This window comes from Homo sapiens, chromosome 20 (assembly GCF_000001405.40).
Source record: "Homo sapiens chromosome 20, GRCh38.p14 Primary Assembly".
Lineage (NCBI taxonomy): Eukaryota > Metazoa > Chordata > Mammalia > Primates > Hominidae > Homo > Homo sapiens.
The window spans coordinates 25,955,178-25,973,364 of NC_000020.11; the positions used below are offsets into that span (position 1 = coordinate 25,955,178).

General features: G+C 37.9%; 1 long non-coding RNA gene across 1 annotated transcript; it reads left to right on the forward strand.

Annotated features, from left to right (window-relative positions):
• Window positions 1–634: 634 nt before the first annotated feature.
• LINC01733 (long intergenic non-protein coding RNA 1733) lies at window positions 635–14,111 on the forward strand. Its single transcript, NR_110003.1, has 4 exons — window positions 635–692; window positions 909–1,033; window positions 7,885–8,019; window positions 9,826–14,111. It is a non-coding gene; the product is annotated as a long intergenic non-protein coding RNA 1733 (long non-coding RNA).
• The last annotated feature ends 4,076 nt before the right edge of the window (window positions 14,112–18,187 follow it).

The window sequence follows — 18,187 nt, forward strand, 5'->3', positions numbered from 1 at the left end:
AGGAATTAAATGTATAGAGTGAAATATACACATATTCAAGGTATAAACCCAAGTGACACACATCTTAATCTGAACACAAAACATTTCTTTCACCTCATAAACTTCTCTCATACCGCTTTCCAGTCAGTATTGCTGCAACATAAGGCAACTGGTGATGTGGTTTCTATCACCATAAGTTAGTTCTGCCAGTTCTTGAACTTCATATAAATGAAACCATAGCGCATGTAATCTTTGGGTCTAGCTTCTTTCACTCAGTGTAGTTTTTGAAATTTGTCTGTTGCTGTGTGTCTTGATAGTTTGTTCTCTTTTGTTACTGAACAGTGTTGAGTAAAAGAGTCAAACTCTGTAAAATATTTGAAGAGATTTATTCTGAGTGAAATATGAGTGACCATGGCCTATGACACAGCCCTCCTCAGGAGACCCTGAGAAAATGTTCCCAAGGTGGTTGGGGTTTAGGTTGATTTTATATATTTTAGAGTGTTGAAACACACTAAATATGTCCTGAGAAGGACTCCATACTTCTATATTTGAATCTTTGTGGACAAACTGCAACCTAACTTAATAGGTAGACAAGGTTGAAAAACCTAACTTAGGAGTATGCACCTGTAACAATAGCTGAGTGTAGGCCAATCCCAGCAACCATACTTCAACCACTCTTACACTACTGAGTGTTCAAACTGTGCTCAACTAAGGCAAATGCTAAGCTGTAACCAATTCAGTTGTTTCTGTACCTCACCTCCAATTTCTGTACCTCATTTCCCTTTTTATGTCTATAAATCTTTCACCACGTGGCTGTGCTGAAATCTCTCTGAATCTGCTGTGATTCCAGGGACTGCCCTATCATGAATTGTTGATTGTTGAATTGAACTTCTTTAAATTTAATTCAGCTGAAGTTTTTCTTTTAACAGATGGTGTCAGAAGTAGGATCTGAAGAAGAGACTTAACAATCCCCAGGAGTGCTGAGTGAACAAGCAAGGTACCTGCAAGGACCTACTTTTGTCCCTTGATCTCTCAAAGTGGCTGGGGATCATGGGTAAGTTCTCTCAGATTTCAGAACTCCATGGATTTGTGTTTGGAATTCTCTGAGTTTCTCTGAACAAATTTGTGATCCAAACAGTTTGAAAGTTAGGACAGAAACTGAACTAGGTCCAGGATCAGATTTGATCTGGTAATTAACTGACTTGGATCCAGCTGGAGGCCTCTCTCTCTCTCTCTTTTTTTTTTTTTTTTTTGAGACGGAGTCTTTCTCTGTCACCCAGGCTGGAGTAGAGGGGCAAGATCTAGGCTTACTGCAACCTCTGCCTCCTGTGTTCAAGAAATTCCCCTGCCTCAGCCTCCCGAGGAGCTGGGATTACAGGTGCCCACCACCATACCCAGCTAATTTTTGTATTTTTAGTTGAGACACGGTTTCAACATATGGGCCAGGCTCATCTTGAACTCCTGACCTCAAGTGATCTACCCACCTAGGCCTCCCGAATTGCTGGGATTACAGACGTGAGCCACCATGCCTGTCCCAGTTAGAGGCCCCTTACCTTTGGCTGAGACAGAAAGAAAATGTTAGTAAATGGTAATATTGCAGTGGTTGTAAAATTTGGCTTTTAGAAATGCACAGGGATTCTTGAGTTCTACACCTTCATTTCATTTTTCTTGTGTAGTTAGGTAGAAAAAAAATTATTGGCTAAGTCAATCAAGGGAACCGAAGAGTAAAGCCAATATCTTAGGTAAAAATAGGATCCTTAATTTTTGAAAGTCTGAGTTTCTTCCACCTTTTTATTTTTTATTTTATTTATTTATTCATTATTATTATTTTGAGATGGAGTCTCTCTCTGTCACCCAGGCTGGAGTGCAGTCACGCAATCTCAGCTCACTGCAAGCTCTGCCTCCCAGGCTCAAGCGATTCTCCTTCCTCAGCCTCCCAAGTAGCTGGGATTACAGATGCGTGCCACCACACCCAGCTAATATTTTGGATTTTTAGTAAAGACAGGTTTTCACCGTGTTAGCCACGATGGTCTCAATCTCCTGACCTTGTGATCCGCCCGACTCAGCCTCCCACAATGCTGGGATTACAGGTGTGAGCCACTGCACCCGGCCTAAAGAAACAGAATTTTATTAATTTATCAGCTGAGTTAGCATTACAGTTGCTAACTCAGTAACTGAGTAAACATCACAATGGCTTACGAAGCATTTGCCATTGTTTGAGGTTGCAGTGAGGACAACATGAAATACCTGATGAAAAACCTTCACAAAACCTGGTCTCTTTCCAACAGCTTAGCTATGTGAGAATAGCTTTTATAACATGACAACTCTAAAAATAAAACCATTTTAAAGTTAAAGCTGTCCTTCCAGTTGCTGTTTCAAACTTTATCCCAAGAACTGAGGTGTCGTTCAGTAAAAGGCAACTACAGCCTTCTCAGGAGTAAGGCTAAGTACTTGTTTTATGTTTTCTGGTGATGAAGTTATTTCTTGTCTTTGAGTTTACAGTGACAGCTATAAAAGTGATTGTCAATAGTATTAGTATAATTTAATTTCTAATAGAATGTGTTTTCCATGTATGTTTTAGTCAGAGCTATGATTTTCTTAATAATACCAGAACTTGTTTTGTGCTCTGTGATGATGATATTAGTGATCTGTACTCTCAGCAGTATTTTACAGTACTTCAGACTATTAATACACTAATCTGTGTTTTTGGCTGGGTGCTGTGGCTCATGCCTGTAATTCCAGCACTTTCGGAGGCTGAGACTGGTGGATCACTCAAGCTCAGAAGTTCGAGACAAGCCTGAGCAACATTGTGAAACCCCCTCTTTACTAAAAATACAAAAATTAGTTGGGCGTGGTGGTGGGCACCTGTAATCCCATCTACTTGGGAGGCTGAGACAGGAGAATTGTTTGAACCCAGGAGGCGGAGGTTGCAGTGAGCTGAGATCACACCATTGCACTGCAGCCTGGGCAAAAAGACGGAAACTCCATCTCAAAGGAAAAAAAAAAGAGTAAATAGTAAGATCGGGCATGGTGGCTCATGCCTGTAATCCTAGCACTTTGGGAGGCTGAGGCAGGTGGATCACCTGAGGTCGGGAGTTCTAGACCAGCCTGACCAACATGGAGAAACCCCGTCTCTACTAAAAGTAGAAAATTAGCCAGGCTACGTGGTGCATGCCTGTAATCCCAGCTGCTAGGGAGGATGAGGTAGGAGAATCGCTTGAACCCGGGAGGTGGAGGTTGCAGTAAGCCATGATCACTCCATTGCACTCCACCCTGGGCAACAAGAGCGAAACTATGTCTCAAAATAAAATAAAATAAAATGAAGAGTGCATAGTATTCCTTTATGTGTGTGTGTGTATGTATGTGTGTATGTGTGTGTATATATATATATATATATATATATATATATATATATATATCACATTTTCTTTATCCTTTCATCCTATGCTGGCCTCCAAGGTTGCTTTCATATCTTAGCTATTATGGATAATGCTGCAGTGAATATGGTAGTGCAGTTATCTCTTCAGTATGCTGATTTCAATTCCTTTAGCTATACACACATAGGTGGGATTGCTGGAACATACAGTAATTCTATTTTTAATTTCTGATGAATCTCCATGTTATTTTCCTTAATGGCTCTATTAATTTACGTTGGGAAATAAATTCCTTTTTTTTTTTTTTGAGATGGAGTCTTGCTCTGTTGCCCAGGCTGGAGTGCAGTGGTGTGATCTAGGCTCACTGCAAGATCCACCTCCTGGGTTCACACCATTCTCCTGCCTCAGCATACCGAGTAGCTGGGACTACAGGTGCCCACCACCTGCCTGGCTAATGTTTTTTGTATTTTTAGTAGAATGATGTTGGGAATGGACTGGTTTATTCAATAAATCGTGTTACGTACATTGACTAATAGTGTGTAGGATTGAAGTTATATTTACTGAATTCTTTACATTAAGGTATAGTCAAAACAGACTGAATAATTAAATGTAAAAATGATCTGGAGAAAACCTTCTCGTTGTGTTTTGTTTTGTTTTTTTGAGATGGAGTCTCACTCTGTCATCCAGGCTGGAGTGTAGTGGGGCGATTTTGACTGACTGCAACCTCAGTTTCCCAGGTTCAAGTGATACTCCTGCCTCAGCCTCCCAAGTAGCTGGGATTATAGGCATGTGCCACCACACTCAAATAATTGTATATATTTTAAAATAGGAATAGATTTTCTAAGCTAAACTGAAGATAAATGCTAAGGAAAGAGTGAGATTTGACTTGATAATTATGTGTCTGAATGAATTAGCCAATTAATAAAATGAAAACAGGCCAGGGGCAGTGGTGCATGCCTGTAATCTGAGCACTTTGGGAGGCTGAGGCGGGTGGATCACTTGACGTCAGGAGTTCAAGACCAACCTGACAAACATGGTGAAACCCCATCTCTACTAAATACAAAAAAGTAGCTTGTTGTGGTGGCACATACCTTTAATCCCAGCTACTTGGGAGGCTGAGGCAGGAGAATCACTTGAACCTGGGAGGTGGAGGTTGCAATGAGCCGCGATTGCGCCATTGCACTGCAGCCTGGGCAACAAGAGCAAAACTCTGTCTCAAAAAAAAAAAAAAAAAAAAAAAAAATCACTGCCCCACCAACTTTTTCACATAGAATGATTAAGGATTCCAGAGCCCATGCTACCTCTAGGGGCTCCTACCCCTCCCACACTACACATATATCTTGACAGGGCTAGTTACAGAGAAGAAAAGGCCCAGTAAATTAATATCACAATCATTGCCACATACCCACCAAAAACTCAAATTAAAATTTTGACAAAATTAAGTATCAAGAAGAATGCGAAGATTTGGGAATTATCAGACATTGTAAGACTGTCAGTTGGTGTGTTAACATTGGGATGAAACCAATAATAGCTAATAAAATGGAAGATATGTTTACGCTGTAACCTATGGTTTCACCTCTTGTTTTATACTGTTCACTATACACACTATACACACCAATGGTAACCAAATATAAATACACAAATGTTCACAACAGCATCATTTGTAACTGACAAAAATGAACACAACCCACATGTCTACCAACAATGAAGGGATACACACTGGTGTACTGTATTTTTATTTTTATTTTTATTTTTGAGATGGGGTCTTGCTCAGGCCCCCAGGTTGGAGTGCAGGGTGCGATCTCGGCTCACTGCAATCTCTGCCTCCCAGGTTCAAGTAATTCTCCTGTCTCAGCCTCCCGAGTAGCTTGTCTTACTGATGGGTGCTGCCACTCCCAGCAAATTTTTGTATTATTGGTAGAGACAGGGTTTCACCTTGTTGGTAAGGCTGGTCTCAAACTCCCTACCTGAGGTAATCCACCTGTCTCCACCTCCCAAAGTGCTGGGATTACAGGTGGGAGCCACCACGCCCGGCCTTTTTTTTTTTTTTTTTTTGAGACTGAGTCTCACTCTGTTGTCCAGGTTGGAGTACAGGGTGCAATCTTGGCTCACTGCAACCTCCACCACCTCCCAAGTTCAACTGATTCTCCTGCCTCAGCCTCCCGAGTAATTGGGATTACAGGCACCCACCACCATGCCTGGCCTTTTTTTTTTTTTTTTTTTTTAACAGAGTCTAGTTCTGTCGACCAGGCTGGAGTGCAGTGGTGCAAACTCGGCTCACTGCAACCTCCACCTCCCAGAGTGATTCTTCAGCCTCAGCCTCCCGAGTAGCTGGGACTACAGGCACATGCCACCACGCCCAGCTAATTTTTTGTATTTTTAGTAGAGATTTGGTTTCACCGTGTTCACCAGGATGGTCTCGATCTCCTGACCTCACGATCTGCCTGCCTCGGCCTCTCAAAGTGCTGAGATGACAGGCATTAGCCACTGCATGGCCTACTTTTTGTAGTTTTAGTAGAGATGGGGTTTCACCATGTTGGCTAGGGTGGTCTGGAACTCCTGAACTCAAGTGATCTGCCTGCCTCAGCCTCCCAAAGTGCTGGGATTATAGACATGAGCCATCGTGACTGGCTGTACTGTTTTAATAGAATGCAGAAACAATGCTAAGTGTGAATATTAAATACTTAATATTGGGTAAAAGGAGCCAGAGGCAGCAGGATACAGACTTTACTCCAATTATGTAAGAGAAAAATCAGGCAAAACCAGACTTGACTTTAGGCTTCTAAAAAATGCATAATAAGGCCAGGCACTGAGGTCAGGAGTTCGAGACCAGCCTGACCAACATGTAAAACCCCGTCTCTACTAAAAATACAAAAATTAGCCAGGCATGATGGCAGATAGCCCATGCCTGTAATCCCAGCTATTAGGGAGGTTGAGGCATGAGAATCACTTGAATCCAGGAGTTGGAGGTTGCAATGAGTCAAGATCATGCCACTACACTCCAGCCTGGGTGACAGAGCAAGTCTCCATCTCTAAAAAAGAAAAAAAAAGAAAAAGAAAAGAAAGAAAAAAATACATAATAAAAAGAGAACCTAGGAGAGAAATGCAGATATCCACAGGTAATGTGGTTATCTGTTATATCTGTTACTAATAAGGGATGGAAGACTTTAGGATCATTTAGGGGCATACAGAGGACTTCTTGGTGGTGATAGTGCTCTATTTCTTCACCTGGATAGGTATCACACAGATGTTTATTTAATAACTGATGGATCCATATGTTTGTTTGCATATTTCACAATAAGAATGAAATAGAGGAAAGGAAGGTGAATGGAAAGAGATTTCTCCATTCATCAAAATTTTAAAGTCATGTTTTTCCTCAGGTTCTTCTCCAAGTTCAGTCTGAAATGGTGAAAGCAGCCAAGTGCGGTGGCTCACGCCTATAATCTCAGCACTTTTGGGAGGTAACAGAGTGAGACTCTGCCTAAAAAAAAAAAAAAAAAAAGAACAACAGAGTAGTTATCAGGTAGAGAGGAAGGGAGGAAATAAAGACATGTGGGTCAGAGATACACAGTAGCAGATATGTAGGATGAACGATCCTATACATCTATATACAACATGAGGACTATAGGTAATAAAATTGTACTGTATATGGGATTCATGCTAAATAAGATTTTACCTTCCCTTGCCACACCAAAAAATGTGCGTATCTGTGATAGATATGGTAATTTGCTTCACTATAGTAATGAATTTTTACTATCTATATGTATTCTATAACATCATATGTGAACCTTAAATATACACAATAAAATTTATTTTAAAGAGAAAAAAATGGCCAGGTGTGGTAGTTCATGCTGGTAATCCCAAAACTTTGGGAGGCTGAGGTGGGTGGATCACGAGGTCAGGAGTTTGAGATCAGCCTGTCCAACACGGTGAAACCCCGTCTCCACTAAAAACACACACAAAAAATTAGCCGGGTGTGGTGGCACACACTGTAATCTTAGCTACTCAGGTAGTTGAATTGCTTGAACATAGGAGGCAGATGTTGCAGTGAGATGAGATCTCACCATTGCACTCCAGCCTGGGTGACAGACCGAGACTCCACCTCAAAAAAGAATGTATATATATATATATGTAGAGAGAGAGAGAGAGAGAGAGAGAGAGAGAGAGAAAATTTATGAAAGTATGCACAACAAAATTAAAATGTTGACTCTAAAGTGAGCTACTGAGTGACTGGGGTGCATGAGAGAAAAGGTTACTTAACATTTTTATACCTATTGAATTGTATCCTATGTATGCATTATAAATTTAAATGTGCAATAATGCAGATAACTGAAATGTGGGTATGCTTTGATTAGGACTTTGCATTTCCCATTTGCTCAAATTCCTTATGATTCTAGATGCATATGAATAGAAATACAAAATGTAAGGAGACACGGGACTTCTGATAGCCCTTTCTTCTTTCCACATTTTGTGTCTCTGGCTGTAGTTTGCCATATGAGTCCATATGGCTAATGAGCAAAATATTTTTCAGATGGATACATGTGACCAAGCATTGCAAGTTAAAGATATTTCTGAATCTTGGACCTCTTATTTACAGTGAAGCCCCCTCATGCATAGTAAAGCAGAGAGGAATGTAAAAGGTTGCTGCATGGATAATCAATTTCTGGTGAGCAATAATTATAGGCAATGTAAAATGAGACAATTATTGCTTTTCATCATATCTTGAAAGAACTCTTACAGTCCATGATTTTGAAAAAAAAATCTAAGTTCACTCTTTTCTTTTCTATAAAAAAAGACATTATCCAGTAGAAGTTCAAGAGTAAAATCTGAAGGCAGCTTATCTGACCTAGCCACATGGTCTTGCCACTTGTTAAATATAACTTTCTACACACTAACTTCTCCAGACCTCAGATCTTCAACTCTCTAAAATGGAAACCTAGTAGTATTTGCCTCTAGAACTGCAGCTGAACTGAGCATTTTAGGGAAGGAACAAACATACACACGATATATATATATATAGTCAGATTATGAACCCAGTGTAGCCCAGAATGCAAAAATTTCTCAGTAACAGAGATCCCCAAGAGAAAAATGTGATTTAGCCTATCTCAGTGGCCTTTCATGTGGCAAATGAAAAGTTAAAGTCCATAATGAGAAATATATGGGCAGCCAGTGACACCATCCATTCAATGTAGACTCTCAACATCTCTGACAATCATTCCCTGTTGTACTCCAACCTGCTTATATATTGGGGTGATATCACCTTTTGATCATAACATACATAAACCTCAAGCTTCAGTAAGAAATATTTATGAACAATCAGATATTCTGTGTTTCCAGTCAAAACTCAGGTAGATCACATTTTATGTGACAGGAGAAGGCACAGTTGATGCCCAGTTAACTGTGAGATCATCTCTGCCTGCAGCTTCCTATCATCATAGCAAGCTCTTTCCCTGCAGTTCACCATCTGTATCTGCCCTTTGCTATATAGATAGCAAAAATAAGCATCTAAAAAGATGCTCAACACCATATGTCACTAGGGAATTCAAATTAAAACAATGATGAGATACCATTACACATCTATTAGACTGGCTCACATCCAAACACTGAGACTACCAAATGCTGATGAGGATATGGAACAACAGGAACTCTCATTGATTGCTGCTGGGAATGCAAAATTGTAAAGCCACTGTGGAAGGCAGTTTTGCAAATTCCTTCAAAACTAAACATACGCTTACCATATGATCTGGCAATTGTATTCCTTGGTATATGCTCAAATGACTTGAAAACTTATATCCACTCAAATTCTGTATATGAATGTTTATAGCAGCTTATACGTAACCAACAAAGATTGGAAGTAACCAGGATATCGTACAATAAGGAAATGGATAAACTAATTGTGAAACATTCATACAATGGAATATTCTTCAGGAATAAAAATAAATGTACTACCAAGGCATGACAAGACATGGAGGAATCTTAAACATGTATTTCTAAGTGAAAGAAGCCAATGCAAAAAGCCACATAGTGTAGAGTTCCAATTATATGGAATACTAAAAAAGACAAAACTAAGCAGATGGCATTATATAAAGTTCAGTGGTTGCCAGAGGCTTCAGCAGAGGGAAGGATGAATAGGTGGAACACAGAAGATTTTTAGGGCAGTGAAACTTTTCTGTGTGACCCTATAATGGTGGATATATTGCTTAAGCATCTGTCAAAGCCCATAAATGGTAGAACACAAAGAGTGAATCTTAATATAAGCCATGAACTTAATAATATCAATGTTGGCTCATCAAGCATAACAAATGTACCGCACTAACAAGATGATAATAGAGGAAGTGTGTGTACTGTGTTGTGAGGCAGATATTAGAGCTCAATATGCCTTCTGCTCTATTTTTCTGTACACCTACAACTGTTCTAAAAATTAAGTCAATTATTTATTTGTTAATTATTATTTTTAAATTTATTTTTCGAGATGGAGTCTCACTCTGTTGCCCAAGCTGGAGTGCAACAGCATGATCTTGGCTTACTGCAACCTCTGCCTCCCGGGTTCAAGCGATTCTGCTGCCTCAGCCTCCTGAATAGCTGGAATTACAGGCACCCACCACCATACCCAGCTAATTTTTTGTATTTTTAGTAGAGACGGGGTTTCACCGTGTTAGCCAGGATGGTCTTAATCTGCTGACCTCTTGATCCACCCACCTTGCCCTCCCAAAGTGCTTAGATTACTGGCATGAGCCATTGCACCAGGTCTTATTTATCTTTTTGAGACAGGTTTTAGCTCTGTCACTCAGGCTGGAGTGCAGTGGTGCAATGATGGCTCAATGCAGCACCAACCTCCAGGGCTCAAGTAACCCTCCCACCTCAGCTTCCTGAGTAGCTGGGACCACAAGCGTGTGTCACCATACCTGACACATTTCTTAGACCTCAGAAAAGATGCTCAACACCATAAGTCACTAGGAATATTCAGTATTCAAATAGAGGCTTCAATGGGCTCCGAACTATCCCCTCCTGAACTCTATAAAAAGCGTGTTTCCAACCGGCTGAATGAAAACAAAGGTTTACATCTGTGAGATGAATTCACACATCAGAAAGCATTTTCACCAAGAACTTTTCTAGTTTTATAGCAAGATGTTCATTTTTTCAATATTGGTCTCAATGGGCTCCAAAATGTCCCTTTGTACAGTCTACAAAAATTTTTGCCAAAGTACTGAATCAAAACAAATGTTTAACACTGTGAGATGAATTTTCAAGTCACCAAACATTTTTACAGATAGTTTGTATCTACTTTTTAATCACAAAACTTAGAATTGTTCACTATAAGCCTCAAAGGGCTCTAAATTGTCCCCCTTAGCTTCTACTAAAAGAGAGTTTTGAACCTAGTGTGTAGAAACAAAAGTTTAAGTCTGTGAAATAAATCCCCACATTGCAAAGCTATTTCACAGATAGCTTGCTTCTAGTTTTTATCATGAATTATTCAACTTTTCACTACAGGCCTCAATGGGCTCTGAAATGTCCCTTCATACATTCTACAAAAAGAGTGTTTCCAACTTAGCTGAATCAAAAGGAAGTTTAAACTGTATGAGATGAAACCGCAAATTGCAAAGCATTTTCACATATAGCTTCTATAGTTTCTATCATATAATATTCAGTTTTTCACTGTAGGCCTCCATGGGCTATGAAATGTCCCCTCATAGGTTCTACAGAAAGGTGTTTCCAACATGCTGAATGAAAACAAAGATTTAACTTTGTGAGATGAACCCACACATCACAAAACATTTTTATGGATGGATTTTCTCTAGTTTTTATTGCAGAATATTTGATTTCATGCTGTAGGTCTCAATTTTCTCCAAAATTTCCCCTTGTAGATTCTACAAAAAGAATATTTCCAATCTGCTGAATCAAAACCGATGTTCAATTCTGTGAGATGATATGCAAAGCTTTTTCACAGATAGCCTGTTTCTAGTTTTTATTGTGGGATATTTGGTTTTTCACTATAAGCATCAGTGGGCTCTGAAATTGTCCCTTTGTAGATTCTACAAAAAGAGGGTTTCCAACCTGTTGAATCAAAATAAAGTTTTAACTTTGTAAGATGAACCCACACATCGCAAAGCATTTTCACCCATAGCTTGTTTCTAATTTTTACCATGGGTTATTGGTTTTTCACTAAATGCCTCAGTGGACTAGGAATTGTTGCCTTGTAGATTGTACAACCAAAGAGTTTCCAACCTGCTGAAGCAAAACACAGGTTTAACTTTGTAAGATGAATCTACACATTGCAAAGCATTTTTACAGATAGGTTGCTTTGAGTTTTTATCAAGAGATATTTGATTTTTCACAGTATGCTTCAATGGGTTATGAAATCTCCCCTTGTAGATTCTACAAAAAAAGTTTCCAAACTGATGAATCAAAAGAAAAGTTCAACTTGTGAGATGAAATCACACATTACAAAGTATTTTCAGAAATAGCTTCTTTATAGTATTTCTCGCAGGATATTAGATTTTCCAATATTAGCCTCAACGAGCTCTGAAATGTCCCTTTGTAGATTGTACAAAATGAGTGTTTCCAACCTATGGAATAAAAAGGAAGGTTTAACTCTGTGAGATAAATCCACACATCACAAAGCATCTTCACAGATGGCTTGTTTCTAATTTTTATTGTGGGATATTCGGTTTTTCACTAAAGGCCTCAAGCACTCCGAAATGTCCTTTTGTAGATTCTATAACAAGAGTGTTTTAAAACTGCTGAATCAAAACAAACGTGTAACTCTTTGAGAGGAACCCACACATCACAAAGCATATTTTCAGATCACTTGTTTCTAGTTTTTAAAGCATGATATTCGGTTTTTCACTATATGCCTCATCAGACTCAGAAATGTCTCATAGTAGATTTTACAAAAACAGTGTTTCCTACCTGCTGAATCAAAACAACAGTTTAAATCTGTGAGATGACTCCAAACCTCGCAAAGCATTTTCACAGATAGTTTTTTCCTAGTTTTTTTCGCAGGATATTTGGTTTTTCAGTATAGGCCTCAATGAACTCTGAAATGTCCATTCATAGGTTCTATAAAAGTGTGTTCCCAACTCCCTGTATAATAGCAAAGGTTTAACTCTGTGAAATGAATCTATACATTGGAAAACATTTTCACAAATAGCTTGTTCCTAGCTTTTATGATGAGACATTTGATTTTTTACTATTGGCCTCAATGGGTTCAGAAATGTCTCTTTGCAGATTCTACAAAAAAAAAAGTTTTTCATTTTTCTGAACAAAAATAAAGGTTTAACTCTTTGATATGAAATCAGACATCACAAAGAATTTTCACACATAGCTTGTTTCTAGGGTTCATCACTGGATATTGTGTTTTTCATTATAGGCTTCAAAGGAGTCTTAATTGTAACTTCCTAATTCTACAAAAAGAGTGTCCCCCAACCTGCTGTATGTAAATAAAGGTTTACCTCTGTGAGATAAATCTTCACATTGCAAAGCATTTTCCCCGATAGCTTGTTTCTAGTTTTTATATCGGGATATTGATTTTTCACTATAGGCTTCAATGGGCTTTGAAAGATTCCTCTGTAGATTGTACAAAAAGAGTGTTTTAACCTGCTGAATCAAAACAACGTTTAACTTTTTGAGATACATCCACACATCACAAAGTATTTTCACGGATAGGTTTTTATTTTATTTTATTTTATTTTTTTTAGATGGAGTCTCACTCAGTCACCCAGGCTGGAGTGCAGTGGCACGATCTTGGCTTCCCGGGTTCATGCCATTCTCCTGCCTCAGCCTCCCAAGTAGCTGAGACTACAGGTGTCTGCCACCAGGCCAGGCTAATTTTTTGTGTTTTTAGTAGAGATGGGGTTTCACCATGTTAGCCAGGATGGTCTCGATCTCCTGACCTCGTGATCCACCCGCCTCAGCCTTTCAAAGTGCTGGGACTACAGGCGTGAGCCACCATGCCTGGCCAATAGCTTTTTTTTACTTTTATTGTGGAATATTGGTTTTTCACTACAGGCTGATATTGGCTTCAAATTGTACCCTCACAGATTCTACAAACAGTGAATTTTCAAGCTTCTGAAGCAAAATAAAGGTTTAACCTTGTAAGATGAATCTGCACATTATTGCTGGATATTCGGTTTTTCACCGTAGGCATCGATTTTCTCTGAAATGTCCTATTGAAGATTTTGCCAAAAGAGTGTTTCTACCCTGCTGAATCAAAAGAATGGTTTAATTCTGTGAGATGAAATCACCCATCGTAAATTATTTTCAGAGACATCTTCATATAGTTTTTACCTCAGAATATTCGGTTTTTCACTATAAGCCTCAATGGGCTTTGAAATGTCTCCCATAAATTGTACAAAAAAAAAAAGGAATTTCCAACCTGTTGAATCAAAACAAATATTTAATGTTGTGAGATAAATTCAAATATCGCAAAGCATTTTCACAGATTTTTTTTCTACTTTTTATCACGGAATATTTGGTTTTTCACTATAGTCCTCAGTGGGCTCAGAAATGCCCCTTGTAGATTCTACAAAAAGAATGTTTCTAACCTGCTGAACCAAAACAATACTTTAACTCTTTGAGGTGAATCCACACATTGCAAACATTTTCACAGATAGCTTGTTTTTAGTTTTGATCACGTAATATTGGATGTTTTACAATAGGCCTCAACGGGCTCAGAATTGTCCCCTCTTAGATTCTACTAAAAGAGTGTTTCCAAAATGCTGTGTAAAAATAAAGGCTTAACACTGTGAGATGAATCGACACATGACAAAGCATTTTCACAAGTAGCTTGTTTTTACTTTTCATCGGGAGATATTCAGTTTTTCAATATATTCCTCCATGGGCTCTGAAATGTCCCTTCATAGATTCTATGAAAAGACTGTATCCAACTGATTGAATCAAGACAAAGATATAACTCTGTGCGAGAAATCCACACATCACAAAGCATTTTCACTGATAGCTTGTTTCTAGTTTTTATCACGGGATAATTGGTTTTTGACTATAGGCCTCAATGGGCTTCAAAATGTCCTTTCATAGATTCTACAAAAAGAGTGCTTCAGTCCTGCTCAATCAAAGCAAAGGTTTAATTCTCTGAAATGAATCCACATATCACAAATCATTTTCCAATATAGCTTGTTGCTAGTTTTTGTAGTGGGATATTTAATTTTTTACTTTAGACCTCAATGGGCTCTGAAATGTGCCTTCTTAGATTCTACAAAGAGTGTTTCTCACCTGCTAAATCAAAACAATGGTTTAACTTTATGAGATAAGTCCACACGTCACAAAGCATTTTTACAAATAGCTTGTTTCTAATTTTTATCATGGGATATTCAGTTTTTTCAGTGTAGGCCTCAATGGTCTGTGAAATGTCCCCTCGTAGATTCTACAAATAGAGTTGTTGCAATCTGATAAATCAAACATTTAATTCTGTGAGATAAATCTATAAATCTACACATCTCAAAGCATTTTCCCAGATAGCTTGTTTCTGGTTTTTATCATGGGATATTTGGTTTTTCACTATAGACCTCAATAGGCTCTGAAATGTCCCCTCATAGAGTCTACAAAAAGAGTGATTTCAACCTGCTGAATAAAAACGAAGGTTTAACTCTGTGACATAAAATAACAAATCATAAAATATTTTCACAGTTGGCTTGTTTCTAGTTTTTATCATGCAATACTCAGTTTTTCATGACAGGGCACAATGGGCTCCAAAATGTCCCTTTGTACATTCTAAAAAAAGAGTGATTTTGGTCTGCTGAATAAAAACAAAGGTTTTATACTGTGAGGAATCCACACATAGGCAGGAATTTTCACAGATAGCTTGTTTCTAGTTTTCATCGCAGGATGTTCGGTTTTTTAATATACTTCTTGATGGACTCTGAAATATCCCTTCATAGACTCTACAAAGAGAGCATTTACAACCTGCTGAGTAAAAACAAAGGTTTAACCCTGTGAGATGAATCCAGACATCTCAAAGCATTCTCATATATAACTTGTTTCTAGTTTTTATCTTGAGATATAACGCTTTTAACTTTAGGCCTTAATGTTCTCTGAAATGTGCCATTTTAGTTTCTACAAAAAGAGTGTTTCAAACTGCTGAATTAAAACAAGGTTTAAGTCTGTGATATGAATTGACACATCACAAAGTATTTTCACAGATAGCTTTTTACTAGGTTTTGTCATGGGATTTTCAGTTTTTCACTAATGGCTTTCATGTGCTCTGAAATGTCCCTATGTAGATTTTACAAAAAGGGTGTTTCCAGCCTACTGAATCAAAACAAGGGTTTAAGTCTATGAGATATATCCATACATTGCAAAGCACTTTCGCAGATTGCTAGTTTCTAGCTTTTATCATGAGATACTTAGTTTTTCACTATAGACCTCAATAGGCTCCCAAATGGCTCTCATAGATTGTACAAAAAGAGGGTTTTCAAAGTGCTGAATCAAAAAAAGTTTTAACTCAGTGAGGTGAATCCACACATTGCAAAATATTTTCACAGATAGCTTGTTTTTGTTTGTTTGTTTGTTTGTTTTGTTTTTATCATGGGATATTTCATTTTTCACTATAGGACTCAATGGGCACCAAAATGTCTTCTCCTAGATCCTACAAACTGACTGTTTCCAACTTGCTTAATCAAAACAAAGGTTTAACTCTGTGATATGAATACACACATCCCAAAGGATTTTCACAGATAGCTTGTTTCTTGTTTATATCTCCACGTATTTTGTTTTTCACTGTAGGTTTCAATGGGCTTTGAAATGTTTCTTCGTAGATTGTGCAAAAAGAGTTTTTCAAATCTGCCAAAGTAAAATAGATGTTTAACTCTTTGAGATGAATCCACATACTGCAAAGCATTTTCACAGGTAGCTTGTTTCTAGTTTTTATCATGGGATATTCGGTCTTTCACTGTAGTAGTCCTCAATGGACTCTGAAATGGCCCTTAGTAGATTCTAGAAAAATAGTGTTTCCAACCTGCTGAATCAATATAAATGTTTAACTTTGTGAAAGGAATCCACACAATGCAAAGCATTTTCATAGATAGCTTGTTTGTAGTTTTTATTGCAGGATATTCAGTGTTTTAATGTACTTGTCCATGGGCTCTGAAATGTCCCTTCATATATTCTATAAAAAAATAGTGTTTTCAACCTGCTGAAAAAATAACATACGTTTAACTCTGAGAGATGATTCCCCAAATCACAAGACCTTTTCACAGATAGCTTGTTTCTAGTTTTCACTGTGGGATATTTAACTTTTCACTATAGGTCTCAATGAGCTTTGTAATGTCCTTTTGTACAATCTGCAAAAAGAGGGTTTCCAGCCTGCTGAATCAAAGCAAAGGTTTAACTCTGTGAGATAGATCCACACATTGCAAAACATTTTCACAGATATCTTCTTTCTACTTTTCATCATAGGATACACCCTTTTTCCAAGTAATTCTCCAGGGGCTCCGTATTGTCTTTTCATAGATTCCACAAAAAGAATGTTTCCAAACAGCTAAATCAAAACAAAGGTTTAACTCTGTGAGTTAAATCTACGCATTGCAAAGCATTTTCACAGATAGCCTCTTTCTCATTTTTATGAAGGGATATTCAGTTTTTCACCATAGGCCTCAATGGGCACTAAAATGTCTTCTCATAGATTCTAAAAACAGACTGCTTTCAACCTGCTTAATCAAAAGAAAGCTTTAACTCCATGATATGAATACACACATTGGAAAGCATTTTCACAGATAGCTTGTTTGTAGTTTTTTTCTCCACATATTTTGCTTTTCACTATAGGCTTCACTGGGCTTTGAAGTATTTCTTTGTAGATTCTGCAAAAAGAGTTTTTCCAGCCTGCATATTTGAAACACCAGTTTAACTCTGTGGCATGAATCCACAATGGCAAAGCATTTTCACAGATAGGTTTTTTCTTGTTTTTTTTTTTTTTATTTCTGTGGGATATTTCATCTTTCACTGTAGATCTCAATGGGCTCTGAAATGGCCCTTCATGGATTCTACATAAAGAGTGTTTCCAACCTGCTGAATCAAAACAAATATTTAACTCTGGAAGATGAATCCACACATCACAAAGCATTTTCAGATATAGACTTTTATTGTTTTTATTGTGAAATATTCTGCTTTTTACTATAGGCATCAATGGGTGTGATATATCCCTTCATGTATTCTATAAAATAGTGTTTTCAACCTGCTGAATTTAAACCTGCAAAGGTTTAAATCTGTGAGATGCACCCACACATTGCAAAGCATTTTCAAAGACAGTTTGTTTCTACTTTTATCGTGAGATATTTTGTATTTCACTATGGGCCTCAGTGGGCTTCAAACTGTCCCTTTGTAGATTCTACACAAAGAGTGTTTCCAATCTGCTTAATCAAAAAAATGATTAACTCTGTGAGATGAATCCACACATCACAAAGAATTTTTACTGATAGCTTGTTTCTGGATGTTATTGTGGGATAATCGGTTTTTTAATCAACCTGCTGAATCACAAGAAAGATTTAGCTCTGTGAGATGAAATCACACATTGCATATAACTTTCAGACACAGCTTTTTTGTAGTTTTTTATCACAGGACATTAAGTTTTTCACTACAGGCTTCAGTGGGCTTTGAAATGTCCTTGTGTCGATTGTACAAAGAGAGTGTATCCAACCTGCTGAAAGAAAACGATGTTTAATTCTTTGAGATGAATCCACACATCCCAAAGCATTTTTACAGACAGGTTGTTTCCATTTTTTATCATGAGATATTAGGGTTTTCACTATAGGTTTCAATGGGCTCTGAAATGTTTCTTCGTAGATTCTAGAAAAGGAGTGTTTCAATTCTGATTGAATTGAGTG